The 23,657-nt window shown below is 38.3% G+C and overlaps 1 protein-coding gene across 14 annotated transcripts in view, besides 2 other annotated features; it reads right to left on the bottom strand.

Moving 5' to 3' along the window:
• The window catches only part of TMEM67 (transmembrane protein 67), a 77,810-nt gene that overhangs the window by 46,969 nt on the left and 7,184 nt on the right, over positions 1-23,657 (bottom strand). For 11 of the 14 annotated variants that reach the window (XR_001745619.3, XR_007060761.1, XR_007060762.1 and 8 more), the window contains 9 exons: positions 21,744-21,843; positions 20,210-20,279; positions 20,039-20,113; positions 13,034-13,096; positions 4,938-5,092; positions 4,703-4,811; positions 3,941-4,027; positions 3,225-3,290; positions 307-463 (listed from right to left, as the gene is read on the bottom strand). The exons of 2 other annotated variants lie outside the window; for them this stretch is intronic. Coding sequence is in view for 4 of the 12 variants with exons in the window: in NM_001142301.1 (NP_001135773.1) it covers positions 307-463; positions 3,225-3,290; positions 3,941-4,027; positions 4,703-4,811; positions 4,938-5,092; positions 13,034-13,096; positions 20,039-20,113; positions 20,210-20,279; positions 21,744-21,843 (882 nt within the window). In the remaining 8 variants the exon portion in view is untranslated. The remainder of the gene's footprint in view (positions 1-306; positions 464-3,224; positions 3,291-3,940; positions 4,028-4,702; positions 4,812-4,937; positions 5,093-13,033; positions 13,097-20,038; positions 20,114-20,209; positions 20,280-21,743; positions 21,844-23,657) is intronic. One more of the 14 variants, XM_047422409.1, reaches the window with a different exon arrangement.
• Positions 5,062-5,590: an enhancer, noted in NCBI's record as "H3K27ac-H3K4me1 hESC enhancer chr8:94792323-94792851 (GRCh37/hg19 assembly coordinates)". NCBI's record gives its function as "activates a minimal SCP1, AML or CMV promoter by ChIP-STARR-seq in naive H9 embryonic stem cells {active_cell/tissue: H9 hESC(naive)}" and the evidence as "EXISTENCE:reporter gene assay evidence [ECO:0000049][PMID:30033119]".
• Positions 5,591-6,120: an enhancer, noted in NCBI's record as "H3K27ac-H3K4me1 hESC enhancer chr8:94791793-94792322 (GRCh37/hg19 assembly coordinates)". NCBI's record gives its function as "activates a minimal SCP1, AML or CMV promoter by ChIP-STARR-seq in naive H9 embryonic stem cells {active_cell/tissue: H9 hESC(naive)}" and the evidence as "EXISTENCE:reporter gene assay evidence [ECO:0000049][PMID:30033119]".

Raw genomic sequence — 23,657 nt, 5'->3', positions numbered from 1 at the left:
TTGTCCAAAAAAGCATATTCGGGACAGCTTGACGAAAAAGCCCCAATTTACGGTTCTACTAATGTTTCTCAGGATATACCCTCAGCAACAGTATAATTTCTTAACAATATGTCTGGCAATAAAATTAGCAACAGTTTCTAAGTCCACCAGCAATTTATTGTTTCATTTTTTGGCACACTGTATAGAACCACATAAGAGAGAATTCATGACCTTTCTTATAATCAGTGGTTTATTAAATTATCATGTAGGTTAACTTATTTGTTGATTTCTGCTCAGGGAAAAGAGTGGTATGTATGGATGTCTTACCTTGGTTCACAAATATCTTATTATGTTGAAGATTTAGGTTTAACACAGGCACAGCCAAAATATATTGATGTTGATTTTCATCAGTATATTCAAGGTACACATCATAAAATATAGGAGTGGGAAAGTCAATTAAGATCTTAGAGATAGGAATCTCACACTGAAAAGTAAAATTAAAAATAAAAGCACATAAAACAGCAACTTAAAGTACTAAAAAGTAAAAAATAAAATAAAAGATCACAATTGAAAATTAGCAAGCATATTTATTATCTTCAGAGTGTTTTTCTAGTTTTGCAAAATGTCTTTATACTACCTTGTTTATATGCATTTTCATTTGTCTTCCAAAACATGAATACTATGATTATTTTATAAGGACCAAAACCACTAACAGTAAAGTACTGCTTTGAGAATTTTGAGAACTTCTTGAGCTTCAACTCAGATGAAGGAGGTATACCTTCATTCTCAATATTAAGGGTACATCAGTGAAAAGGTTTAAAACTACTGTCCTACGGGATAAATTCCCAATTTTTTCTCCTGCTGTACAATGATGTATATGATCTGGCTTCCATTAACCAAGCCAGGCTTATCTCTCATTACTCCCTATCAGTCTATGGTGGTCCATTCATACTAATCTACTTGTAGTTTCTAAATATGCCATACTACTGTATGTCTCTCTGTCATTACAAATGTGATTTCTGTCTGATATTTCCTTCCCCACTGTGTTCTTCTGGAAAACTCATATTCATTATACAAATCCAAGTATCACTTACTTTGTGAAGCCTTTCTATACTTCCCCAGGAATCAGTACCTTGTACATACCTATAGAATGACACTTATCACATTCTTTGCAATTCTTTGTCTATATAACTGTTTTGCCCACTAGTCTATGAAGGACTTGAGAGTTAGCCAGGTTCAAAGAAATAAAAATGCTTTTTAAACCTGATGATAGAACATTGGCTCCACAGTTTATGTGACACAAGTCTTTGAGTAAATTACCTAATTACACGGCATAATTTCCTCATCTGTGAAGCACAGATACTATGTATCTCATATAGTTATTTTATGAATCAAATGGGATAATAACGATAAAATGCTGAGCACACAGATAGGCATTACATAAGTGTTGATCTTTCTGGCCTATGTTAGAAGCACAATAACATTTATTTTAACAACAACAGCAACAACAACGTGTAAATCATTTCTGACAAAAGAAGTAAATTCATGTTCATGGTAGAAAATTTGGAAATTATAAAAAAGAAAAAAATAATTTCTAACCCCACTATCCAGAGGTAACCACTGTTAGTAGATTCTTCCAATCTACTTTCCATAATGGTATTTTTTGTTATGGTTTTGTTCTATGGTTGTGCGTGGAACTTTATCAAGATGTACTTTTACAGACTAATGAATTGATATGGTTTGGCTGTGTCCCCACCCAAATCTCATCTTGAACTGTAGTTCCCATAATCCCCATGTGTCATGGGAAGGACCCGGAGGGAGGTAATTGAATCATAGGGGCAGTTACCCTCATGCTGTTCTCATGATAGTGAGTGAGTTCTCATGAGATTGATGGTTTTATGAGGGGCTTCTCCCCCTTTTGCTCAGTACTTCTCTTCCTGTCACCACGTGAAAAAGGACATGTTTGCTTCCCTTCCACCATGATTGTAAGTTTCCTGAGGCCTCCTCAGCCATAGTGAACTGTGAGTCAATTAAACCTATTTCCTTTGTAAATTACCCAGTCTCGGATGTGTTTTTATTAGCAGCGTGAGAACGGACTAATACATGCATGTTTTTCAAGTATTGAATGGCTCATAATATTCCTTAGTAAAATAATGTAATTTCAAAATAGGTATCAAAGTAAGGAAAGTCAGAGAAGGAAGGAGAAAGAAAAGAATGGAAGAAGATGAAGGAATTATTTTTATTTGTTATGAGCGGGTAGAAGAAGGGAGTAACTTTTTATTAGTCATTTAAAAAAAGTAGTATTTTTACTTTATTTCAAAATGCTCAGAAGTAAGCATTACTTTTTAAGACCTATAAGCCTAGAAGCAGATAAACAATTTATTATGAAGATGTAATATTATATGATGTTTAAGACTCTAGGCCGGACGAGGTGGCTCACACCTGTAATCCCAGCACTTTGGGAGGCCAAGGCTGGTGGATCAGTTGAGGTCAGGAGTTTGAGACAAGCGTGGTCAACACAGCAAAACCCCATCTCTATGCAAAACACAAGAATTAGCTGGGTGTGGTGGTACATGCCTGTTGTCCCAGCTACTCAGGTGGTTGAGGCACGAGAATTGCTTGAACCCAGGAGGCAAGAGATTGCAGTGAGCTGAGATTGCACCACTGCACTCCAGCCTGGGCAACAGAGCGAGACTCTGTCTCAAAAAACAAAAAACTCTATAGATAACAAGGTGCTCTGTTTATGCCACTTAAATTAAGCTTTTATGTACCCAGGTAATAAAAAATTATATTAAATAGTGAAATTATTCTTCACTATTAAAAACATTTCCGGCCAGGCACGGTGGCTCATGCCTGTAATCTCAGCACTTCGGGAGGCTGAGGAGGGCAGATCATCTGAGGTGGGGAGTTCAAGATCAGCCTGATCAACATGGAGAAACCCTGTCTTTACTAAAAATACAAAAAATTAGCTGGGCGTGGTGGCACATGTCTGTAATTCCAGCTACTCGGGAGGCTGAGGCAGGAGAATCACTTGAACCTGGGAGGCGGAGGTTGTGGTGAACTGAGATTGCACCACTGCACTCCAGCCTGGGCAACAAGAGCAAAACTCCATCTCAAAAAAAAAAAAAAAAAAACCAAGAATAAAAAATTTCCAATCTCAAAAATTTAAGTATTATTCCAATTACTGCTGACATGATATTTTGAAAAATAAAGCTAAAATATAGACTAATATCGTTCAAACTTACATTTTGTTGGTAGGTTGTTCCAAATGAATAAGCAGCATTTAGCCTTGTCTCTGTGTCTGGACAAAGCTGCAGCAAAATAATACAACAGATAAATCTCACAAATGTTTTCTATTCTTATACTCAAGAGTTCTCAAACCCGAACATGGATATATGCTCTACATAATACTTATTTAATGTATCAAGGATATGAAAAGTTAAGGGAACATCTGTTATAAATGAAAGTCATAACTTTAAAGAAATAAAACTTAGCCAGGCATGGTGGCTCATGCCTGCAATCCCAGCGCTTTGGGAGGCCAAGAAGGGCGGATCACGAGGTCAGGAGATCAAGACCATCCTGGCTAACATGGTGAAATCCCGTCTCTACTAAAAGTACATAAAAATTAGCTGGACGTGGTGGCAGTCGCCTGTAGTTCCAGCTCCCAGCTGAAGCAGGAGAATGGCGTGAACCCGCAAGGCGGAGCTTGTAGTGAGCTGAGATCGCGCCACTGCACTCCAGCCTGGTTAAGAAAGCGAGACTCCATCTCAAAAAAAAAAGAAAAAACAAACAAACAAACAAACAAACAAAAAACTTAAGAAAGTCTAATTTAAAGCATCAGAAAAAAAATCAACTGTAGTATGTAACTGATGCTTTATTCATACAATAATCTTTTCCTCTTGGCTTTGTCTCAGGCAAAAATAATGCATGTTATTAATTCTTTAACTAGAATCATGCTTACCTGTAAAACACCTCCTTCTAAAGTTTGCCACTTGAGAAAATTTCCTCTTATATCATAGGAAGCAGCAACAAACTTCAGTTTTGTATTCTGATTAAAGAAAACGAGCAAAATCAGGTCAAATACTCTGAAAGTAATACAATATCCTATAAAGAAATTTTCATTGTTGACTGATCTTTTTTGTTGAAAAATTACATTCAATTATCTTTATTTTGAGGTTCAATTAATCTATTTCTATGACTAAATAGACCTGAAAGAATTAGACTGGTTTTTTGCATGAAAATTATTATTCTAGAATTGAGAGGCAGCACTAGTGACAGATAGCCTCCTTTTGAACCTGTTAAATAGGAGGCAGTGTGGGAGAATAGTATCTCCTCATTCTGGAAGGTCAAAAAGTTACAGGTAGGAATTTGGCCCTGTGAAGTGCTGAGCAATGTCACAGAGCCCCAATCAATCTTTGGAAGCACTTCTTTAAGGTGTGGAAAAAACAGGACAGAGATTTTTTGCATTTGGTGATGAAAACTGCTCTTCCCAACCCTACAAGTACAACTTCTTGCCATAACCACACAATCCAGAAGTATCCACATATTCAGTAAGATAGCTAAACTCTATACTATTTAGTTCTTATGAGTTGTTGACATTTATATTTAGTTTAGTAACTGAGTTTGTACCAACAACCTAAAAAGGCAAGAATTGTAACTTTATTACCTTTTAAAATTATAAATCAAAATGTAGTTATCCTCTAATGATATTAGACACTTTTACCTGGTTTTCTCCTTTAAAACTGAAATTTGTAGGAAGAGAGGTAGAACTGAGCACTTGAGGTGCTAATCCTAACTGGTCTCCATAAAACAGCCAAGGAAGATTCTGTCTCCTATAAACAGTTACAACTGTTTTAATAATGGAGAATAAATATTTCTTATTATTAGTATTTGTGAATATATTAATAACTGCACTGAATTCAGTCAAAATAACATTTCATCAATCAAAATATCCTTACCAAAATGAAATAGAATGAACAGTGCTCAGTCCAGCAGTATTTTCAAAGATAAACTGAAATAGTCCACATGCATCAAATGTGGCAAAGTCGTAAGAATTCATGTTCATCACACACATATTTCCAAGAGCTTGACAAGATGTTAGATTGGCATATACCTACAACAGAACAATGGCAAAGAAAAGTAACATGAACCTGAACAGTCTATGCAAAAGTTGATATAAAAATTTTACTTTGTGCAGGTCTGTTCCAAGATGGCCGAGTAGGAACAGCTCCGGTCTGCAGCTCCCAGCATAATCAACGCAGAAGGCAGGTGATTTCTGCATTTCCAACTGAGATACCTGGTTCATCTCATTGGGACTGGTTGGACAGTGGGTGCAGCCCATGGAGGGCAAGCTGAAGCAGGGTGGGGCATCACCTCACCCAGGAAGCGCAAGGGGTTGGGGGATTTCCCTTTCCTAGCCAAGGGAAGCCGTGACAGACTGTACCTGGAAAAATGGGACACCTCCACCTAAACACTGCGCTTTTCCAATGGTCTTAGCAAACGGCACACCAGATTACATCCCACGCCTGGCTCGGTGGGTCCCACGCCTACAGAGCCTTGCTCACTGCTAGCACAGCTGAGATCAACCTGCCAGGCAGCAGGCTGGCAGGGGGAGGGGTGTCTGCCATTGCTGAGGCTTGAGTAGGAAAACAAAGCAGCCGGGGAAGCTCCAACTGGGTGGAGCCCACCGCAGTTCAGCAAGGCCTGCTGCCTCTGTTGACTCCACCTCTGGCAGCAGGGCATAGCTGAACAAAAGGCACCAGAAACTTCTGCAGAGTTAAACATCCCTGTCTGACAGCTCTGAAGAGAGCAGTGGTTCTCCCAGCACAGCGTTTGAGCTCAGAGAATGGATAGACTGCCTCCTCAAGTGGATCCCTGACCCTGTGTAGCCTAACTGGGAGACACCTCCCAGTAGGGGCCGACAGACACCTCATACAGGTGGGCGCCCCTCTGGGACGAAGCTTCCAGAGGAAGGATCAGGCAGCAATATTTGCTGTTCTACAACCTCCGCTGGTAATATCCAGGAAAACAGCGTCTGGAGTGGACCTCTAGCAAACTCCAACAGACCTGCAGCTGAGGGACCTGTTAGAAGGAAAACTAACAAATAGAAAGGAATAGCATCAACATCAACAAAAAGGACATCCACATCAAAACCCCATCCACATCAAAACCCCATCTGTAGGTCACCAACATCAAAGACCAAAGGTAGGTAAAACCATAAAGATGGGGAGAAACCAGAGCAGAAAAGCTGAAAATTCTAAAAACCAGAGTGCCTCCTCTCTTCCAAAGGAATGCAGCTCCTCACCAGCAACAGAACAAAGCTGGATGGAGAATGACTTTGACAAACTGACAGAAGTACGCTTCAGAAGGTCGGTAATAACAAACTTCTCTGAGCTAAAGGAGGATGTTCGAACCCGTCGGAAGGAAGCTAAAAACCTTGAAAAAAGATTAGACAAATGGCTAACTAGAATAAACAGTGTAGAGAAGACCTTAAATGACCTGATGGAGCTAAAAGACATGGCACAAGAACTATGTGATGCATGCACAAGCTTCAGTAGCCGATTTGGTCAAGTGGAAGAAAGGGTATCAGTAATTGAAGATCAAATTAATGAAATAAAGCGAGACGACAAGGTTAGAGAAAAAAGACTAAAAAGAAATGAGCAAAGCCTCCAAGAAATATGGGACTATGTGAAAAGACCAAATCTATGTTTGATTGGTGTACCTGAAAGTGATGGGGAAAATGGAACCAAGTTGGAAGACACTCTTCAGGATATTATCCAGGAGAACTTCCCCAACCTAGCAAGGCAGGCCAACATTCAAATTCAGGAAATACAGAGAACAAAACAAAGATACTCCTTGAGAAGAGGAACCCCAAGACACATAATTGTCAGATTCACCAAGGTTAAACTGAAGGAAAAAATATTCAGGGCAGCCAGAGAGAAAGGTTGGGTTACCCACAAAGGGAAGCCCATCAGACTAACAGCAGATTTCTTGGCAGGAACTCTACAGCCAGAAGAGAGTGGGGGCCAATATTCAACATTCTTAAAGAAAAGAATTTTCAAGCCAGAATTTCATATCCAGCCAAACTAAGCTTCATAAGTGAAGGAGAAATAAAATCCTTTACAGACAAGCAAAGGTTGAGAGATTTTGACACCACCAGGCCTGCCTTACATAAGCTCCTGAAGGAAGCACTAAACATGGGAAGGAACAACCAGTACCAGCCACTGCAAAAACATGCCAAATTGTAAAGATCATCAATGCTAGGAAGAAACTGCATCAACTAATGGGCAAAATGACCAGCTAACATCATAATGACAGGATCAAATTCACACATACCAATATTACACCTTAAACGTAAATGGGCTAAATGCTCCAATTAAAAGACACAGACTGGCAAATTGGATAAAGAGTAAAGACCCATCAATGTGCTGTATTCAGGAGACCCATCTCACGTGCAAAGACACACATAGGCTCAAAATAAAGGGATGGAGGAAGATATACCAAGCAAATGGAAAGCAAAAGAAAGCAGGCATTGCAATCCTAGTCTCTGATAAAATAGACTTTAAACCAACAAAGATCAAAAGAGACAAAGAAGGGCATTACATAATGGTAAAGGGATCAATTCAACAAGAAGAGCTAACTATCCTAAATATATATGCACCCAATACAGGAGCACCCAGATTCATAAAGCAAGTCCTTAGAGACCTACAAAGAGACTTAGACTCCCACACAATAATAATGGGAGACTTTAACACCCCACTGTCACTATTAGGCAGATCAACAAGACAGAAGGTTAACAAGAATATCCAGGACTTGAACTCAGCTCTGCACCAAATGGACCTAATAGACACCTACAGAACTCTCCACCCCAAATCAACAGAATATACATTCTTCTCAGCACCACCTCGCACTTATTCCCAAATTGACCACATACTTGGAAATAAAGCACTCCTCAGCAAATGTAAAAGAACAGAAATGACAACAAACTGTCTCTCAGACCACAGTGCAATCAAATTAGAACTCAGGGTTAAGAAACTCACTCAAAACCACACAACGACATGGAAACTGAACAACTTGCTCCTGAATGACTACTGGGTAAATAATGAAATGAAGGCAGAAATAAAGATGTTCTTTGAAATCAATGAGAACAAAGATACAATGTACCAGAATCTCTGGGACACATTTAAAGCAGTGTATAGAGGGAAATTTACAGCACTAAATGCCCACATAAGAAAGCAGGAAAGATCTAAAATCGACACTGTTAACACCACAGTTAAAAGAAGTAAAGAAGCAAGAGCAAACAAATTCAAAAGAGAGCAGAAGGCAGGAAATAACTAAGACCAGAGGAGAACTGAAAGAGATAGAGACACAAAAAACCCTTCAAAAAATCAAGGAATCCAGGAGCTGGTTTTTTGAAAGGATCAACAAAATTGATAGACCGCTAGCGAGACTAATAAAGAGGAAAAGAGAGAAGAATCAAATAGACGCAATAAAAAATGATAAAGGCGATATCACCACCGATCCCACAGAAATACAAACTACTATCAGAGAATACTATAAACACCTCTATACAAATAAACTAGAAAATCGAGAAGAAATGGATAAATTCCTCGACACATACACCCTCCCAAGACTAAACCAGGAAGAAGTTGAATCTCTGAATAGACCAACAACAGCATCTGAAATTGAGGCAATAATCAATAGCCTACCAACCAAAAAAAGTCCAGGACCAGATGGATTCACAGCCGAATTCTACCAGAGGTATAAGAGGAGCTGGTATCATTCCTTCTGAAACTATTTCAATCAATAGAAAAAGAGGGAATCCTCCCTAACTCATTTTATGAGGCCAGCATCATCCTGATACCAAAGCCTGGCAGAGATACAACAAAAAAAGAGAATTTTAGACCAATATCCCTGATGAACATCGATGCAAAAATCCTCAATAAAATACTGGCAAACCAAATCCAGCAACACATCAAAAAGCTTATCCAACACGATCAAGCTGACTTCATCCCTGGGATGCTAGGCTGGTTCAACACATGCAAATCAATAAACGTAATCCACCACATAAACAGAACCAATGACAAAAACCACATAATTACCTCAACAGATGCAAAACAGACCTTCGATAAAATTCAACAGCCCTTCATGCTAAAAACTCTCAATAAACTAGGTATTGATGGAACATATCTCAAAATAATAAGAGCTATTTATGACGAACCTACAGCCAATATCATACTGAATGGGCAAAAACTGGAAGCATTCCCTTTGAAAACTGGCACAAGACAGGGATGCCCTCTCTCACCACTCCTATTCAACATAGTGTTGGAAGTTCTGGCCAGGGCAATCAGGCAAGAGAAAGAAATAAAGGGTATTCAATTAGGAAAAGAAGAAGTGAAATTGTCCCTGTTTGCAGAAGACATGATTGCATATTTAGAAAACCCCATTGTCTCAGCCCCAAATCTCCTTAAGCTGATAAGCAACTTCAGCAGTCTTAGGATACAAAATCAATGTGCAAAAATCACAAGCATTCCTGTACACCAATAACAGACAAAAAGAGAGCCAAATCATGAGTGAACTCCCATTCACAATTCCTACAAAGAGAATAAAATACCTAGGAATCCAACTTACAAGGGATGTGAAGGACCTCTTCAAGGAGAATTACAAACCACTGCTCAATGAAATAAAGGAGGACACAAACAAATGGAAGTACACTCCATGCTCATGGATAGGAAGAATCAATATCGTGAAAATGGCCCTACTGCCTCAGGTAACTTATAGATTCAATGCCATCCCCATCAAGCTACCAATGACTTTCTTCACAGAATTGGAAAAAACTACTGTAAAGTTCCTGTGGAACCAAAAAAGAGCCTGCATTGCCAAGACAATCCTACACAAAAAGAACAAAGCTGGAGGCATCATGCTACCTGACTTTAAACTGTATTACAAGGCTACAGTAACCAAAACAGCATGGTTCTGGTACCAAAACAGATACATAGACCAATGGAACAGAACAGAGGCCTCAGAAATAATACCACACATCTACAACCATCTGATCCTTGACAAACCTGACAAAAACAAGAAATGGGGAAAGGATTCCCTATTTAATAAATGGTGCTGGGAAAACTGGCTAGCCATATGTAGAAAGCTGAAACTGGACACCTTCCTTACACCTTATACAAAAATTAATTCAAGATGGTTTAAAGACTTAAATGCTAGACCTAAAACCATAAAAACCCTAGAAGAAAACCTAGGCAATACCATTCAGGACATAGGCACGGGCAAGGACTTCATGACTAAAACACCAAAAGCAATGGCAACAAAAGCCAAAATAGACAAATTGGATCTAATTAAACTAAAGAGCTTCTGCACAGCAAAAGAAACTGTCATCAGAGTGAACACACAACCTACACAATGGGAGAAATTTTTTGCAATAACCCATCTGACAAAGGGCTAATATCCAGAATCTACAAAGAACTTAAACAAATTTACAAGAAAAAAACAACCCCATCAAAAAGTGGGCAAAGGATATGAACAGACACTTCTCAACAGAAGACATTTATGCAGCCAACAGACACATGAAAAAATGCTCGTCATCACTGGTCATCAGAGAAATGTAAATCAAAACCACAAAGAGATAGCATCTCACACCAGTTAAAATGGTGATCATTAAAAAGTTAGGAAACAACAGATGCTGGAGAGGACATGGAGAAATAGGAATGCTTTTACACTGATGGGAGTGTAAACTAGTTCAACCATTGTGGAAGACAGTGTGGCAATTCCTCAAGGATCTAGAACTAGAAATACCATTTGACCCAGCAATCCCATTACTGGGTATATACCCAAAGGATTATAAATCATGCTACTATAAAGACACATGCACATGTATGTTTATTGCGGCACTATTCACAATAGCAAAGACTTGGAACCAACCCAAATGTCCATCAATGATAGACTGGATTAAGAAAATGTGGCATATTATACACCATGGAATACTAAGCAGCCATAAAAAAGGATGAGTTCATGTCCTTTGCAGGGACATGGATGAAGCTGGAAACCATCATTCTGAGTAAACTATCACAAGGACAGAAAACTAAACACTCTGTGTTCTCTCTCATAGGTGGGAATTCAACGAGAACACTTGGACACAGGGCGGGGAACATCACACACTGGGGCCTGTCTTTGGGTGGGGGACTGGGCGAGGGATAGCATTAGGATAAATACCTAATGTAAATGACGAGTTAATGGGTGCAGCACAGCAACATGGCACATGTATACCTATGTAACAAACCTGCATGTTGTGCACATGTACCCTAGAACTTAAAGTATAATACAAAAAAGAAATAAATAAAAAGAGAAAAAGTTTATTTTGTTTTCATTTTGCCTATTCTAAGCCGGGCATGGTGGCTCACGCCTGTAATCCCAGCACTTTGCGAGGTCAAGGCAGGCAGATCACTTGAGGTCAGGAGTTTGAGAGCAGCCTGTCCTATGTGGTGAAACCCTGTCTCTACTAAAAATAGAAAAATTAGCTGAGTGTGGTGGCATGCCCCTGTAGTCCTAGCTACCCAGGAGGCTGAGGCAGGAGGATCTCTTGAGCCCAGGAGGCGGAGGTTGCAGTGAGTCGAGATTGTGCACTCCAGCCTGTGCAACAGGGTGAGGCTCCGTCTCAAAAAAAAAAAAATTTTTTTTAACCTATTTTACTAATAATTTTTTTTATTATTCTTTTGCTTGTTAAAACCTTCCCTCTAGCTTAAGGAGAAAATAAACTTTCCACTTGGGAAGAGAAATAACACAAACATTTTAATTGTAAATTTTAGGTTAAAATATAAAGACAAGAAACTGAAAGAAGAACTAAGGAAAAACTCATAGCATGACATTAAAAAACCTACTAGACTATTTTTGAAAGAACAATAATTTGTATGTTAGATCTTACACATAAAATCTAATCCATTTTGTTTAAGTAATCTGCTTTATAAACAACAAAATGAGATCATTTGTTGAGTTTGCCTGTCAACCATCTTTCTCAGTTTTCCCTATTAGGAAAAGGCAATTCCATTTTTACAGTTATTCATGTGAAAAACTTTGAACTTTTTTTCTCTCTTGCCCCTTATCCAGCTCATGAGTAAATTCTGTCAGCTAAATCTTCAAAGCATAGCTGAAGGTAAATGCTTCTCTCATTTCTGCAGGACCACCCTTGTGCAATGGTCCACTATCTCTCACTCAGATTACTGTAATACTCTCCTAAATGGTCCCTTACCCCAACAAATTCTATTCTCCATGCTACAATGATCCTTTCAAGAACTGAAGTTCTATCATGTCTTCCTTTGCATGAAATCCTCCTATCTCCCTTAAAATAAGCTCCAGGGCCTTGCCATAGCCACTCCCTACATCCCTGACCTCATCTCCACTCCACTTTCCCTGCTCACTCTGCTCCAGCCACTCCAGCCTCCTCCTTCTCTCTTAAGCATGAATAAGCCAGTAAACTGCTTTGAGATCTTTGCTCCTGCTATGGTTTCTGCTTAGAACACTCTTCTCCTTGATGTTTACATGGCTCACTCTCACTTTTTTCAGTTCTTTGCTCAACTATAACCCTCTCAGAGATGTCTGTCCTGATCACTATATAAAATAGCACCCCCCACCCCATCTATGTACTTTACTCTTAACTATTTGCCTTCATAGCACTTAGCACAACCTGACATTTACTTAGGCTGTAACTCCATGAAGGACTGTTTTTTTCTTTTTCTGAAATATCTAACCTGATTTAAGAATTGGGCCCGGCACACAGTAGGTCATCAATAAACATTTACTAAGTGACAGTCAGTTTCCCCTAACACTCCGTTTCAGCTAAAAAAGCTTGGAGACATTCAATTTGTGTATACTAAATAACATCTTCTTCATGTATTCTCTTTCAGCCCACAAGAAAGAGTTTATTCTTCTTATAAGATTATGACCAAGAAGCTATAGCTACTTAGAAATAAAACTTTTATTATCTGGGTAAATAAATGGTATAATTCTTCAAAATAAAATGAAATTTATTTAAAAAATTCAAACTTACCCAACATGCAGCTGCTGATGATTGCAAATACTTTGCAAACCATTCTGAAGTTAAAGACATGCCCTGTAAACAAAAAGATACATTTTATTTTTAAGTTCAAATGACTCCAATATGCATATTGTTGAATGGGAAATGTCTCACATTACTTTCACAATGTTAGTAGAAAAACAGTTACTAATAGGAATACAAGAATTGATTTTAACCAATGTCAGTTATTATAAATAGGACCGCATTACAAAATAATCACACTTAGGCAAAAGATATAACGAGACAAAATGTGTCTGTAATCAAAAAATACTACATGCCTATTTCACTAACATAAAAAATAAAGTGGCAAACAAAAGAAAAAATAACAGATCCTGACTTAGTATTGAGTGGTTAATATTTACTGGTTTATAATTATTATAAATACTGTACCAAATTGGCAAGCAATAAAAAAAATTGGGGGGAAATAATTTCAAATCTCCAAAGTGGTGGTTCTCAAACAATGGTGGACATCACAATCACCTGCAGAACTTTCTAAAAACAAAAAATGCCTGGCTTCATCCCAAACAAAAACGAATCAGTATCTCCAGATGAGACCAAGGCAATTACATCGGTTTTGAAGGCTACAGATAACAAACCTCTGGCTAAAAAACATTACTTTAAAGCTTATCTGTACATCTTGCTAAAATATGAGAAACTAAGAAGCACCATTCAGAGAAAATCGTCTGGGCACACACGTAAGTGATATAACTAAATTATATGAACATGGCACCACAGTGATCAGAGAAATCTATAATAAAACTATGAGGTACTATTTGTGTATATTTAATAAGCAAAAATTATTTTGTAAGAAAAAATATGCATAGAAGGCTGAGGAACACATGCACACAAACTGGTAAAAAATGAAATGCAACACAACAGTACTGACAAATGCATGTAAAATGGAGCCACATACAATGCCACTGATAGTGTGAAAGTTACATGATACTTTTATAAAGCAATATCCATATACTCTAACCCAGAAATTTAGGAACACTTAGGAAATTTATCTTAAAGCAATAATCCCTCTAAATGGGAAAACATATTTATGGTTGACAGCAATATAGTTAATAACTGAAAACCTAAATATTCTCTGGAGATACCATTATACAAATTTTAGTGCATAAGCCAGAATATTATGGAACTATTAAAAATATAATTATACAAGGTGAGTCTGGAACATGGTATAGAGAAACCAAAGAAATCCCTAAAGTCTAAAGTCACGTCAAAACAACACAGGAGCTATGCTGAAAGGAAGTTCAAATTTGGTACAACTTGAACTTCGAAAAGAAGAATAAAAAAAGTTAACAGATTATAACACAATGAGTAAACAAAGATTCTACAGTTCATAATAAAGCTTTTTTTTAAAAAAAAAAAAGCACAGAGAAAAAGTAAAGTGCTTCTACAGAAAATTGCTAGCTAATAAATCTAGAGGGAATAATAGAATTGTTATTAGAAGTGACCAGTTTAGTAACTGATACAGGCAAGATTCATTAATTGCTAAAATGGATATTTACATAGTCTCAGACTAACGTATTAATCACAGTACCTTTACAATGGAGAGAAGTGGCAGACACAACTATGACCAAGAAATCAATATTTTTTTTTTTTTTTGAGACGGAATTTCGCTTGTTGCCCAGGATGGAGTGCAATGGCGCGATCTTGGCTCACTGCAACCTCTGTCTCCTGGGTTCAAGCGATTCTCCTGCCTCAGCCTCCTGAGTAGCTGGGGTTACAGGAGCCTGCCGCCACGCCCAGCTAATTTTTGTATTTTCAGTAGAGATGGGGTTTCACCATGTTGGCCAGGCTGGTCTTGAACTTCTGACCTCAGGTGATCTACATGCCTCAGCCTCCCAAAGTGCTGGGATTAAAGGAGTGAGCCACCGCGTCCAGCCTAGCAATCAAATTTACTATCACCAATAACTGGACAACCTGACAGACATTACATACCTCTTGTTGTGATGCAATGAGCTGTATACAACATCTATATAATATCTTGCGAAAATATGTTTCACTGAGTCTAATCATGAGAAAACAATCAGAAAAATACAGAGGGGAAAAACCACAAAAGCAAAGTGAAGCAGGGATATGTTCTAGATTAAAGGACACTAGAAAGACTAACTGCAGTGTGAGATCCTTGATTGGATCCTAGGTATCCCTTCCCCCAAAAAAGGAAGGGAGAATAAAGAACATTTTTGAACAACTGGGAAAATTTGGGTATGAATGGATATCAGTTAATTCTATTATGTTAATTTTAAATTCCTTGGGTGTGATTCTAGGAAAATGCCTTATTCTTTGGAGATCCACCCTAAAGTATTTGGAGTGCAATGTCATTATGTCTACAACTTATTTTCAAATGGCTCAGGGGGAAAAAAACATTGTGTTTGCGTATATATTTACATATATACAGAGAGATAAAGCAAATGTGGCAAAACATTAATAATTCTTTAAACCAGGTGAAAGACATAGGCATAGTCATTGTCTAATTCTTTCAGCTTTTCTGCAATTTTGAAATTTTTCAAAATAAAAGTTGGGAAAACCAAAAACCATGAAGCTATTTCACTATTAATGTATTTGAGGGAAAGGGAATGGGGAGACACTAACTCATGTATGTGAAAATTTTTTTCTGATTGGCAAGTATATTCCAAGAGTAGGATGAGTAGGATTGGATGCCTTGTTATAAAATTATACAAACAAAATTATGTACCAATTTTGTTCTCTAAGAAAACTTCCAACCTTAACGTTCAAAGTAGACTTTTCCAATTAGGAAGAATGTATGTTATGGAGTCAATACAAATATTTCAGTCTAATTGGCAATTACAGTCTCAACATAAACTAATAAACATGTATTCTGGTTTATCAATTAATCTAATCTCGTCTAAGTTTAATTACTTTAAACAAGCCCTTAGAATCTGACTGACTTACAAGTACATGGATAAAACTGAGTTCTTATTCTTGCAAACTGAGACTAGGCAAGGGTAGTCAAACCATCTTAACTAGATTTTGCTTACACGTTTTATACACTGGCTACACGGAACCAGTCTGAAAAGCAGTTGCAACATGACTTTAAATCAGGAATTCCAAATCTGTCCTTAGGAAAGAATCAGTGTTCAGAACTGGTATGTTTAGCACACAATTGCTGTGGTGATGTCATGCTCTCCCTGGCCAGGTCTGAGCCGCGACAGATGAGGGACAGACATTCATGGCAAATGGAACCGCTCTTCTCATTCCTATGGGCCCCTCGCCTCTCCTCCCTGCCCTTGGGCAGTATGTGGGATGCAGGGATATGGAATCCGGCTGACCTCGCTTCCTCCACCCTCTGCCTCATGGCATCGGCAGGACTGGGGGGTCCTCTGAGGCAGCAGGTACCCCTTGCTCGCCTCCTATGGCCGTTGCCTTGCAGGCAGCCCTTCTTCAAGGTGGTGGGAGCTGCCCCACGAGCCCATCAGGCTGCCCTTCCCTGCCCGCGCCAGTGTTGGTTCTGCTAGACCTTTGCAGTGCTCCTGGAGTGTTCCAGGTTGTCCCTCAGGTGCCCCAGGCTGGGCAGTGGTGTCGTTCCTGTTCCCAGTGCCCCATCCTCTGGTCACGGTTGCAGTGTCTGCGTGTGGGACCAGGAAAGTTTTGGGAAGGGTCGAGGTGGTTTTGTTTTTTTTTTAATTTAGTTTTATTATTTTTAATTTTAAAAAAATCTGGTATGTTTAAATGAAATACATTAACTGAATCAGAACATTAAGGATGGAACAGTTCCTCCCTACCCACCTATCAAAGAAGTCTATAATGGGTCAACTGCATGGTGCTAGCAGAGGAGGGAGAATGTGGAGGTGGAATAGAAAGTGAGGGGGTTGGAAGATTGGTCACATTGAGCATATAAATAAATTGAGGATAATGAACCCCAGATTCCTCACCCCTGGAGAAGATACTTAAAACTTATCAAAGGGAAAGGTTAGAAAGAACCCTGAAGTATTGCTTAAGAATTAAAGGGATCAGTATGAGCTATTTTATTTTATTTTATTTTTTTGAGACAGAGTCTTGTTCTGTTGCCCAGGCTGGAGTGCAGTGGCGCGATCTTGGCTCACTGCAACCTCCACCTACCAGGTTCGAGTGATTCTCCCGTCTTAGCCTCTTGAGAAGCTGGGTTACAGAGGGCACCACCACACCCAGACAATTTTTGTATTTTTAGTGGAGATGAGGTTTTACCATATTGGCCAGACTGGTCTCAAACTCCTGACCTCAAGTGATCCACCTGCCTCGGCCTCCCAAAGTGCTGTGATTACAGGTGTGAGCCACCACGCCCAGCCCTTTTAATATATATACACAGACACAGAAATAGTCATAGATGTGTGTGTGTATGTATGTATGTGTATATTTCCTAGCTACGTTTGGTGAGAGGACATACTAAGTGTGTTAATCTTGGTTTCTAAATATTTATCCTACAAAACTGATTAAAGAAATGGCTGACTCCAGTCGGGTGTGGTGGCTCATGCCTGTAATCCCAGCACTTTGGGAGGCTTAGGCGGGTAGATCATTTGAGGTGGGGAGTTCGAGACCAGCCTGACCAATATGGAGAAACTCTGTCTCTACTAAAAATACAAAAATTAGCCAGGTGTGGTGGTGCATGCCTGTAATCCCAGCTACTTGGGAGGCGGAGGCAGGGAAACCACTTGAACCCGGGAGGTGGAGGTTGCGGTGAGCTAAGATTGCGCCATTGCACTCCAGCCTGGGCAACAAGAGTGAAACTCCGTCTCAAAAAAAAAAAAAAAAAAAGAAAAAAGAAATGGCTGATTCCAGGGCTGAGGCAGGAAAATTACAAGATTAGCCTAGATTAGCCTAGAAATCTTGTTGTACCATAAAGTAAGCAAATGTTCAAAGAATGATGGGGACATGTCAAAAAAAAAAAAAAAATCACGCAGAAGCCAACTTGAAGGGACTTTTATTGGCCAGATATAGGACAATTTGAGCATCAAAACAAATAATGAGTATGCTGGATTATAACTAACTGAATAAATTAGGAACCCACAAATCCACATGGACATTAATTTTAAAAAATAAGTGTATGAATGGGGAAGAAGAGATAGTTCTTCCTTACAATAGAATGTCAATTAATAAATATGGAAGTAATCAAATGTGGATGGAAATCCAAAATTAACCTTTGGCAACCATCACAGTAGTGGTTCAACAATGGAGACTAATGCTAGTGAGTTAAGGGTTAGTGAGGAAGTGTAATCTCAGAAATACTCCTCACAAAATACTAATCAATTACAAATGGAAAATGGTAACTTTATGGTAGTCATGGTGACTTTAAAGCAGGTGATCAAGGTTAACAGCATCAGTGGTGGCACAGGTAGACACTGTGTGCCCCTGGATGTGATGCAGTCCACTGAAAAGAACATGACATCTTTTTTGTGGCTTTCATCTAAGCAGGTACAAAGTGTGAGGAAAGTATCTGTAGGATGGTAAGGCCTGTAATATTCAAAACTGTTGCATTCATGAAAGACAGGAAAACACTGAGGACCTAGTTCCAGATCGGAGGAAGCTAAAGGGACATGACCATTAAATGATTGGGGATCTCAGACCAGAAAGAACAAAGAGTCATTGTTGGGACTTTCAGCAAAATTATTTCAACTTAAATTATTTGAAAAAGGAAAAAAGGAAAATTAAAGGCCTGCAAATTTAATAATCATATACAGATATTCACTCCAATCTGGAGAAGAATGCCCCAGAAGACATGTATCTTGTTACAGATGAGCCAATTTTGGGATAATCCCAGAGCTACCTATGTATTTTAGCTTTTATTTTGTTGTCTGGTAACTACTTGGTACTTGCCTGTCTTCCTCACAAGACTATACTGAGTAGAGGAATTTTTGCCTCATTCATCAAGATCCTAGATCCCACCCTCATCATTGCTATCCTCACAGTCCTCTTAATCACTCTTATATTCAATAATAATATTAACAATAATGATATTAACAACTAGATCACACCCTGTCCACCCCAAACTCTGGCATACTAAGCATCTTCAATGTTCATTCAGTAATTCCTATTGTAACTCCTAGTCATCTAACTCTTATTCTCTTGGATTTGTTACCTCTTTAGTTCCAATTCATCTACTTACTTTCCATTTTATACCCTAGAAGTGGTTATCACCAGCATCTGCTGCCAAAGCTCTAACTCTAGGCCTCAATGCTCTCATCCACAAAATAAGAAACAACTGGCTGGGCGCAGTGGCTCATGCATGTAATCCCAGCACTTTGGGAGGCCAACGTGGGTGGGTCACAAGGTCAGGAGTTCAAGACCAGCCTGGCCAACACAGTGAAATCCCATCTCTACTGAAAATACAAAAAATTAGCCGGGCGTAGTGGCAGGTGCCTGTAATCCCAGCTACTCGCTGAGGCAGGAGAATCGCTTGAACCTGGGAGGCGGAGGTTGCAGTGAGCCGAGACTGCACCACAGCACTCCAGCCTGGGCAACAGAGCGAGACTCCATCTCAAACAAAAATAAAATAAAAAAAAAAGGAAAAATCTGGCCAAATAAGAATAATCCTGATTTCTCTAATGATTACCATGTACAGGCACTGTGGTAAAGGTATTTTTATTATGTCCAACTTACAGACAATAAAATGAAGTTTTGAAATCTTCTCAAGGTCCAAGGATACCAAACTAATGACTTGCAAATCCAGGGTTCAAATCTAGCGTTTCTGGTGCCCTTAAATGTATTATACTGCATCCTATACAGAACATATACCAGATATTTCTGGTGTAAACATTCTGTAGCGCACTGAAAAACAAACAGGCTACGGTACAGACTGAGTACTGTACTTAGAAATTATACTGCTGAATTATTAGACTAATGTTTCTTAGATTGATTTTTTTCTGTTTTAAAATGATTTACACAAAAGGGTTTCTCATTCTAGCCTGAAATTACTAATGGATGAAATGTAGAAAGTTTTTTAACAACAGAACAAAAAAATTGAAACATACTCACAACTTCTCCATAACGTGCAGCTGAAATTCTACGTAGAGGAAAATTCCCTGTGCTGCTGAAACATAATCCCCCTGTCTTCATAAATAAATGAGGGAAAAAATAGAAGCTTATGAAAAGGCATAAGCAACTGAATTAAAAATATATATACTTTATCAATTTGGTTAGCCTTACTAAAATGTTAGGTTCTGAACATGCACAGGACCTGCTGGTATTAACAAATGTTGGCTCACATCGGACGCACCTGTTCAATATAACAAAAATAATTTTAAAAATGTTAATAAATTATACTAAACCTAATAGAAAAGCTGTCTTTCTAAACAATGGATTAGAGTAGATTCATTCAGTAAGCAATTATGTAAATATGTTAAACAAATTTAAAATAACACTGATTTGAATAGTTTTAGGCCATTCTGTGTTACAAAGTATAAAGTAAGTAAAACTAATCAATAATAGAAGAGTATTTTTTAACTACATGGAATGTACATAATGAATAATTCTGAGTATGAAAGATAATTAAGTCACTCAACTAACAAGAGAGCAACAAACTCATATAAATGAAACCCAATTTTTACAATTAGTTATATCAAATATACTTTCCTTATTTTATGTGCCACAAAGTAAAAAGGTAGCATAACCCGAAGAGAAATGTATCTCTAGCTCCTATCAAACCTACAGCCAACACTTTTAAATAAATTCTATTTACCATCTTTGTTTATTTTAGAAAAATACTTCATATTTTTCATTAATGAATGAGACAGAGGGAGGGAGGGTACTGGTCCAATGAGGACAGTGATGAGTGAATATATGGGTATTCATCACTTGCAAAATAGAGCAGGTAGGAGTCGGGCTGGGGCATGACATAAAACACACTAGGCTTGGGGAAATATTGGGCAAAAAAAATTGGTATTTGGATGCCATAACTCAGGTCAGCCTTAGAGAAAAGATGATCCAACACTAAGTAGCCCTCAGAAAAGCTGCTCAACTATTTTCCATATTAAACTTGGAAACTAAAGAAAAAACTGTGCCCGGAGGGAAGTCATGATGTAGGCCTCTAATAAATTAAAGATGCTGAAATTGGTATAATGTGCTTAAATTAGAGGGAAGTATATAGGCAGGCAGGGGTGTGTGTGTGTGTGTGTGTGTGTTTCACAAATACATGCACAAAGGGGGAACAGGAAGCAACAGAAAATGGGACTATAAATCAGGGTACCTGGGCTATTATTAGCATACATTTATGTTTTTCTATGTAACATTATAATACATAAGGGCTTTAGTACAGTACTTAGCACATAATTATATTACAGATTATATACAAATTATGTAACAACAAACAAAAATAGCTACCCTGTACAGAGTGGTTACTATGTAGCACTATACTAAGAACTGTATCTATTTACTTTATTACTTATTATTTCTGAGCCATTACAGCCTATGAAGTGGGTGGTAACATTACCATTCTAAAGACAAGGGATTGTGAAGTAGTGAGCTATCCAAGGTCAGACAACTAACAGACTGGACCAAAATTTGAACCCTAGTGTGTCTCACGCTCTGGGCCTCAGCTTCTGTATCTGTTAATGTCTACTTCTATCCTTCCTTGGGTTATTGTGAAAACTAAGTGATATGATAGGAAAACACTCTTAAAAGTACAAATTATACACTAATATAAGATGATATTAATGAAGTTAGCCCCCATCACACTGCTTACCTGTCTCCTAAAGCATTTACTACCATAAAAGAGTTTTCATTTCCATCACAGAGCTCACAAGTTGCTTGAGACAACAATGTTCCATTAATGTCTCTTTCCACTGAACAGTTTAGAAACAAAATAAAGATGTAACTCATAGTAAACATATAAGCTTCTACATATTCAGAAAATATTTAACAAAACCCAATTGTAACTATTATTCTATTAATTCTCAAAACACTTTATTTGCATTAAAGGCATAACAAGTATCTCCATAATAAAGTGTAGAGAAGTGATCCCTTCGTACCCGTCCATGCCTCCAAAAAAAAAGAGAAGTGATGCCTTCCCTATTCTCACATAGTAAAATATAGAAAATCATTTTCCAAGTCATCGTAACAATTAAGTCAGTATTTTTTTCCTCAAAAATTTTCTTACCTCTTATCTATACATTTCTGTCACACTAGGATGGGGAAGCAAGTATTTTCATAGATTACTGATAAGTTTCTGCAACTTAGAAGGCTTTTAGTAGTATCTATTAAAGTTTCAAATTCACATCCTTATAACACCACAATTTTGTTTTTAGATACCTAACTTACAGAAACACTTGAACATGTATATAAGGATATTCACTGAGGCATTATTTGTTAGAAACAACACGAATATTTAAAATAGCAGAATGATGGTATATCCATGCTACAAAATACTATGGAATATATTAAAAAGAATCAGGTAAGGCCAGGTGAGGAGGCTTATGCCTGTAATCCCAGCCCTTTGGGAGGCTAAGGTGGGTGGATCACATGAGGCCAGGAGTTCAAGACCAGCCTGGCCAATATGGCAAAACCTTGTCTCTACTAAAAAAAAAAAAATACAAAATTAGCTGGGTGTGGTGGCACGTGCCTGTAATCCCAGCTACTCAAGTGTCTGAGGCATGAGAATCACTTGAACCTGGTAGGTGGAGGTTGCAGTGAGCTGAGATCACACCACTACACTCCAGCCTGGGCAAGAGTGAGACCCTGTTTCAAAAAACAAACAAACAAAAAGAATCAGGTAAATCTAACAGAGCATCAGAGCATACCGTTAACTGAAAAAAGTATGCTAGAACAATATTTGTGTATGAAACATTTATGCAAACATACCACTTATGTTTCCTGTGGCTATATAGTGTAGATCCTTATAATAAAACAGGGAAAAAAAATTCTGAATGTGCACACACAGAGACACACACACCAAAATTAGTACATCATGAAGTGTAATAAATTTCATATTGCCATCCAACTCATAAAACTTTCATTAGTCCCATCCCTAAGAATACACCCCCCAAATACCGTGAGAATCAAGTTAATATTTTCAATGGAGGCAACAGTGCCAATGAAACTACTAAGAAGCTGGGTGCAGTAGATTGCTTAAGCCCAGGAGTTTGAATCCAGCCTGGGTAACATAACAAGACCACGTCTCTGAAAAAATAAGACCAGGCATGGTGGCTCACACCTGTAATCCCAACACATTGAGAGGTCAAGGCAGGAGGACTGCTTGAGGTCAGGAGTTCAAGACCAGCTTGAGATATATAGTAAGACCCCCATCACCACAAAAAAAAAAATTGTTAAAAAGTAAAAAAAAAAAAAGGTAAAGATAATTAAAAAATTAATCTTTGGGTAATATATGAAATATAAAAATAAAAGGCACAAAAGGATTTATTTTATTTTATTTTTTGAGAGAGTTTCGCTCTTGTCATCCAGGCTGGAGCACAGTGGCGTGATCTCACTCACTGTAACCTCCACTTCCCAGATTCAAGTGATTCTCCTGCCTCAGTGTCCCAAGTAGCTGGGACTACAGGCACCTGCCACCATGCCCAGCTAATTTTTCTATTTTTAGTAGAGACAGGGTTTCACCATGTTGGCCAGGGTGGTTTTGAACTTCTAACCTCAGGTGATCCAC

The sequence above is a fragment of the Homo sapiens genome, chromosome 8 (assembly GCF_000001405.40).
Source record: "Homo sapiens chromosome 8, GRCh38.p14 Primary Assembly".
NCBI lineage: Eukaryota > Metazoa > Chordata > Mammalia > Primates > Hominidae > Homo > Homo sapiens.
This window is presented reverse-complemented; position numbering and strand designations above follow the sequence as displayed.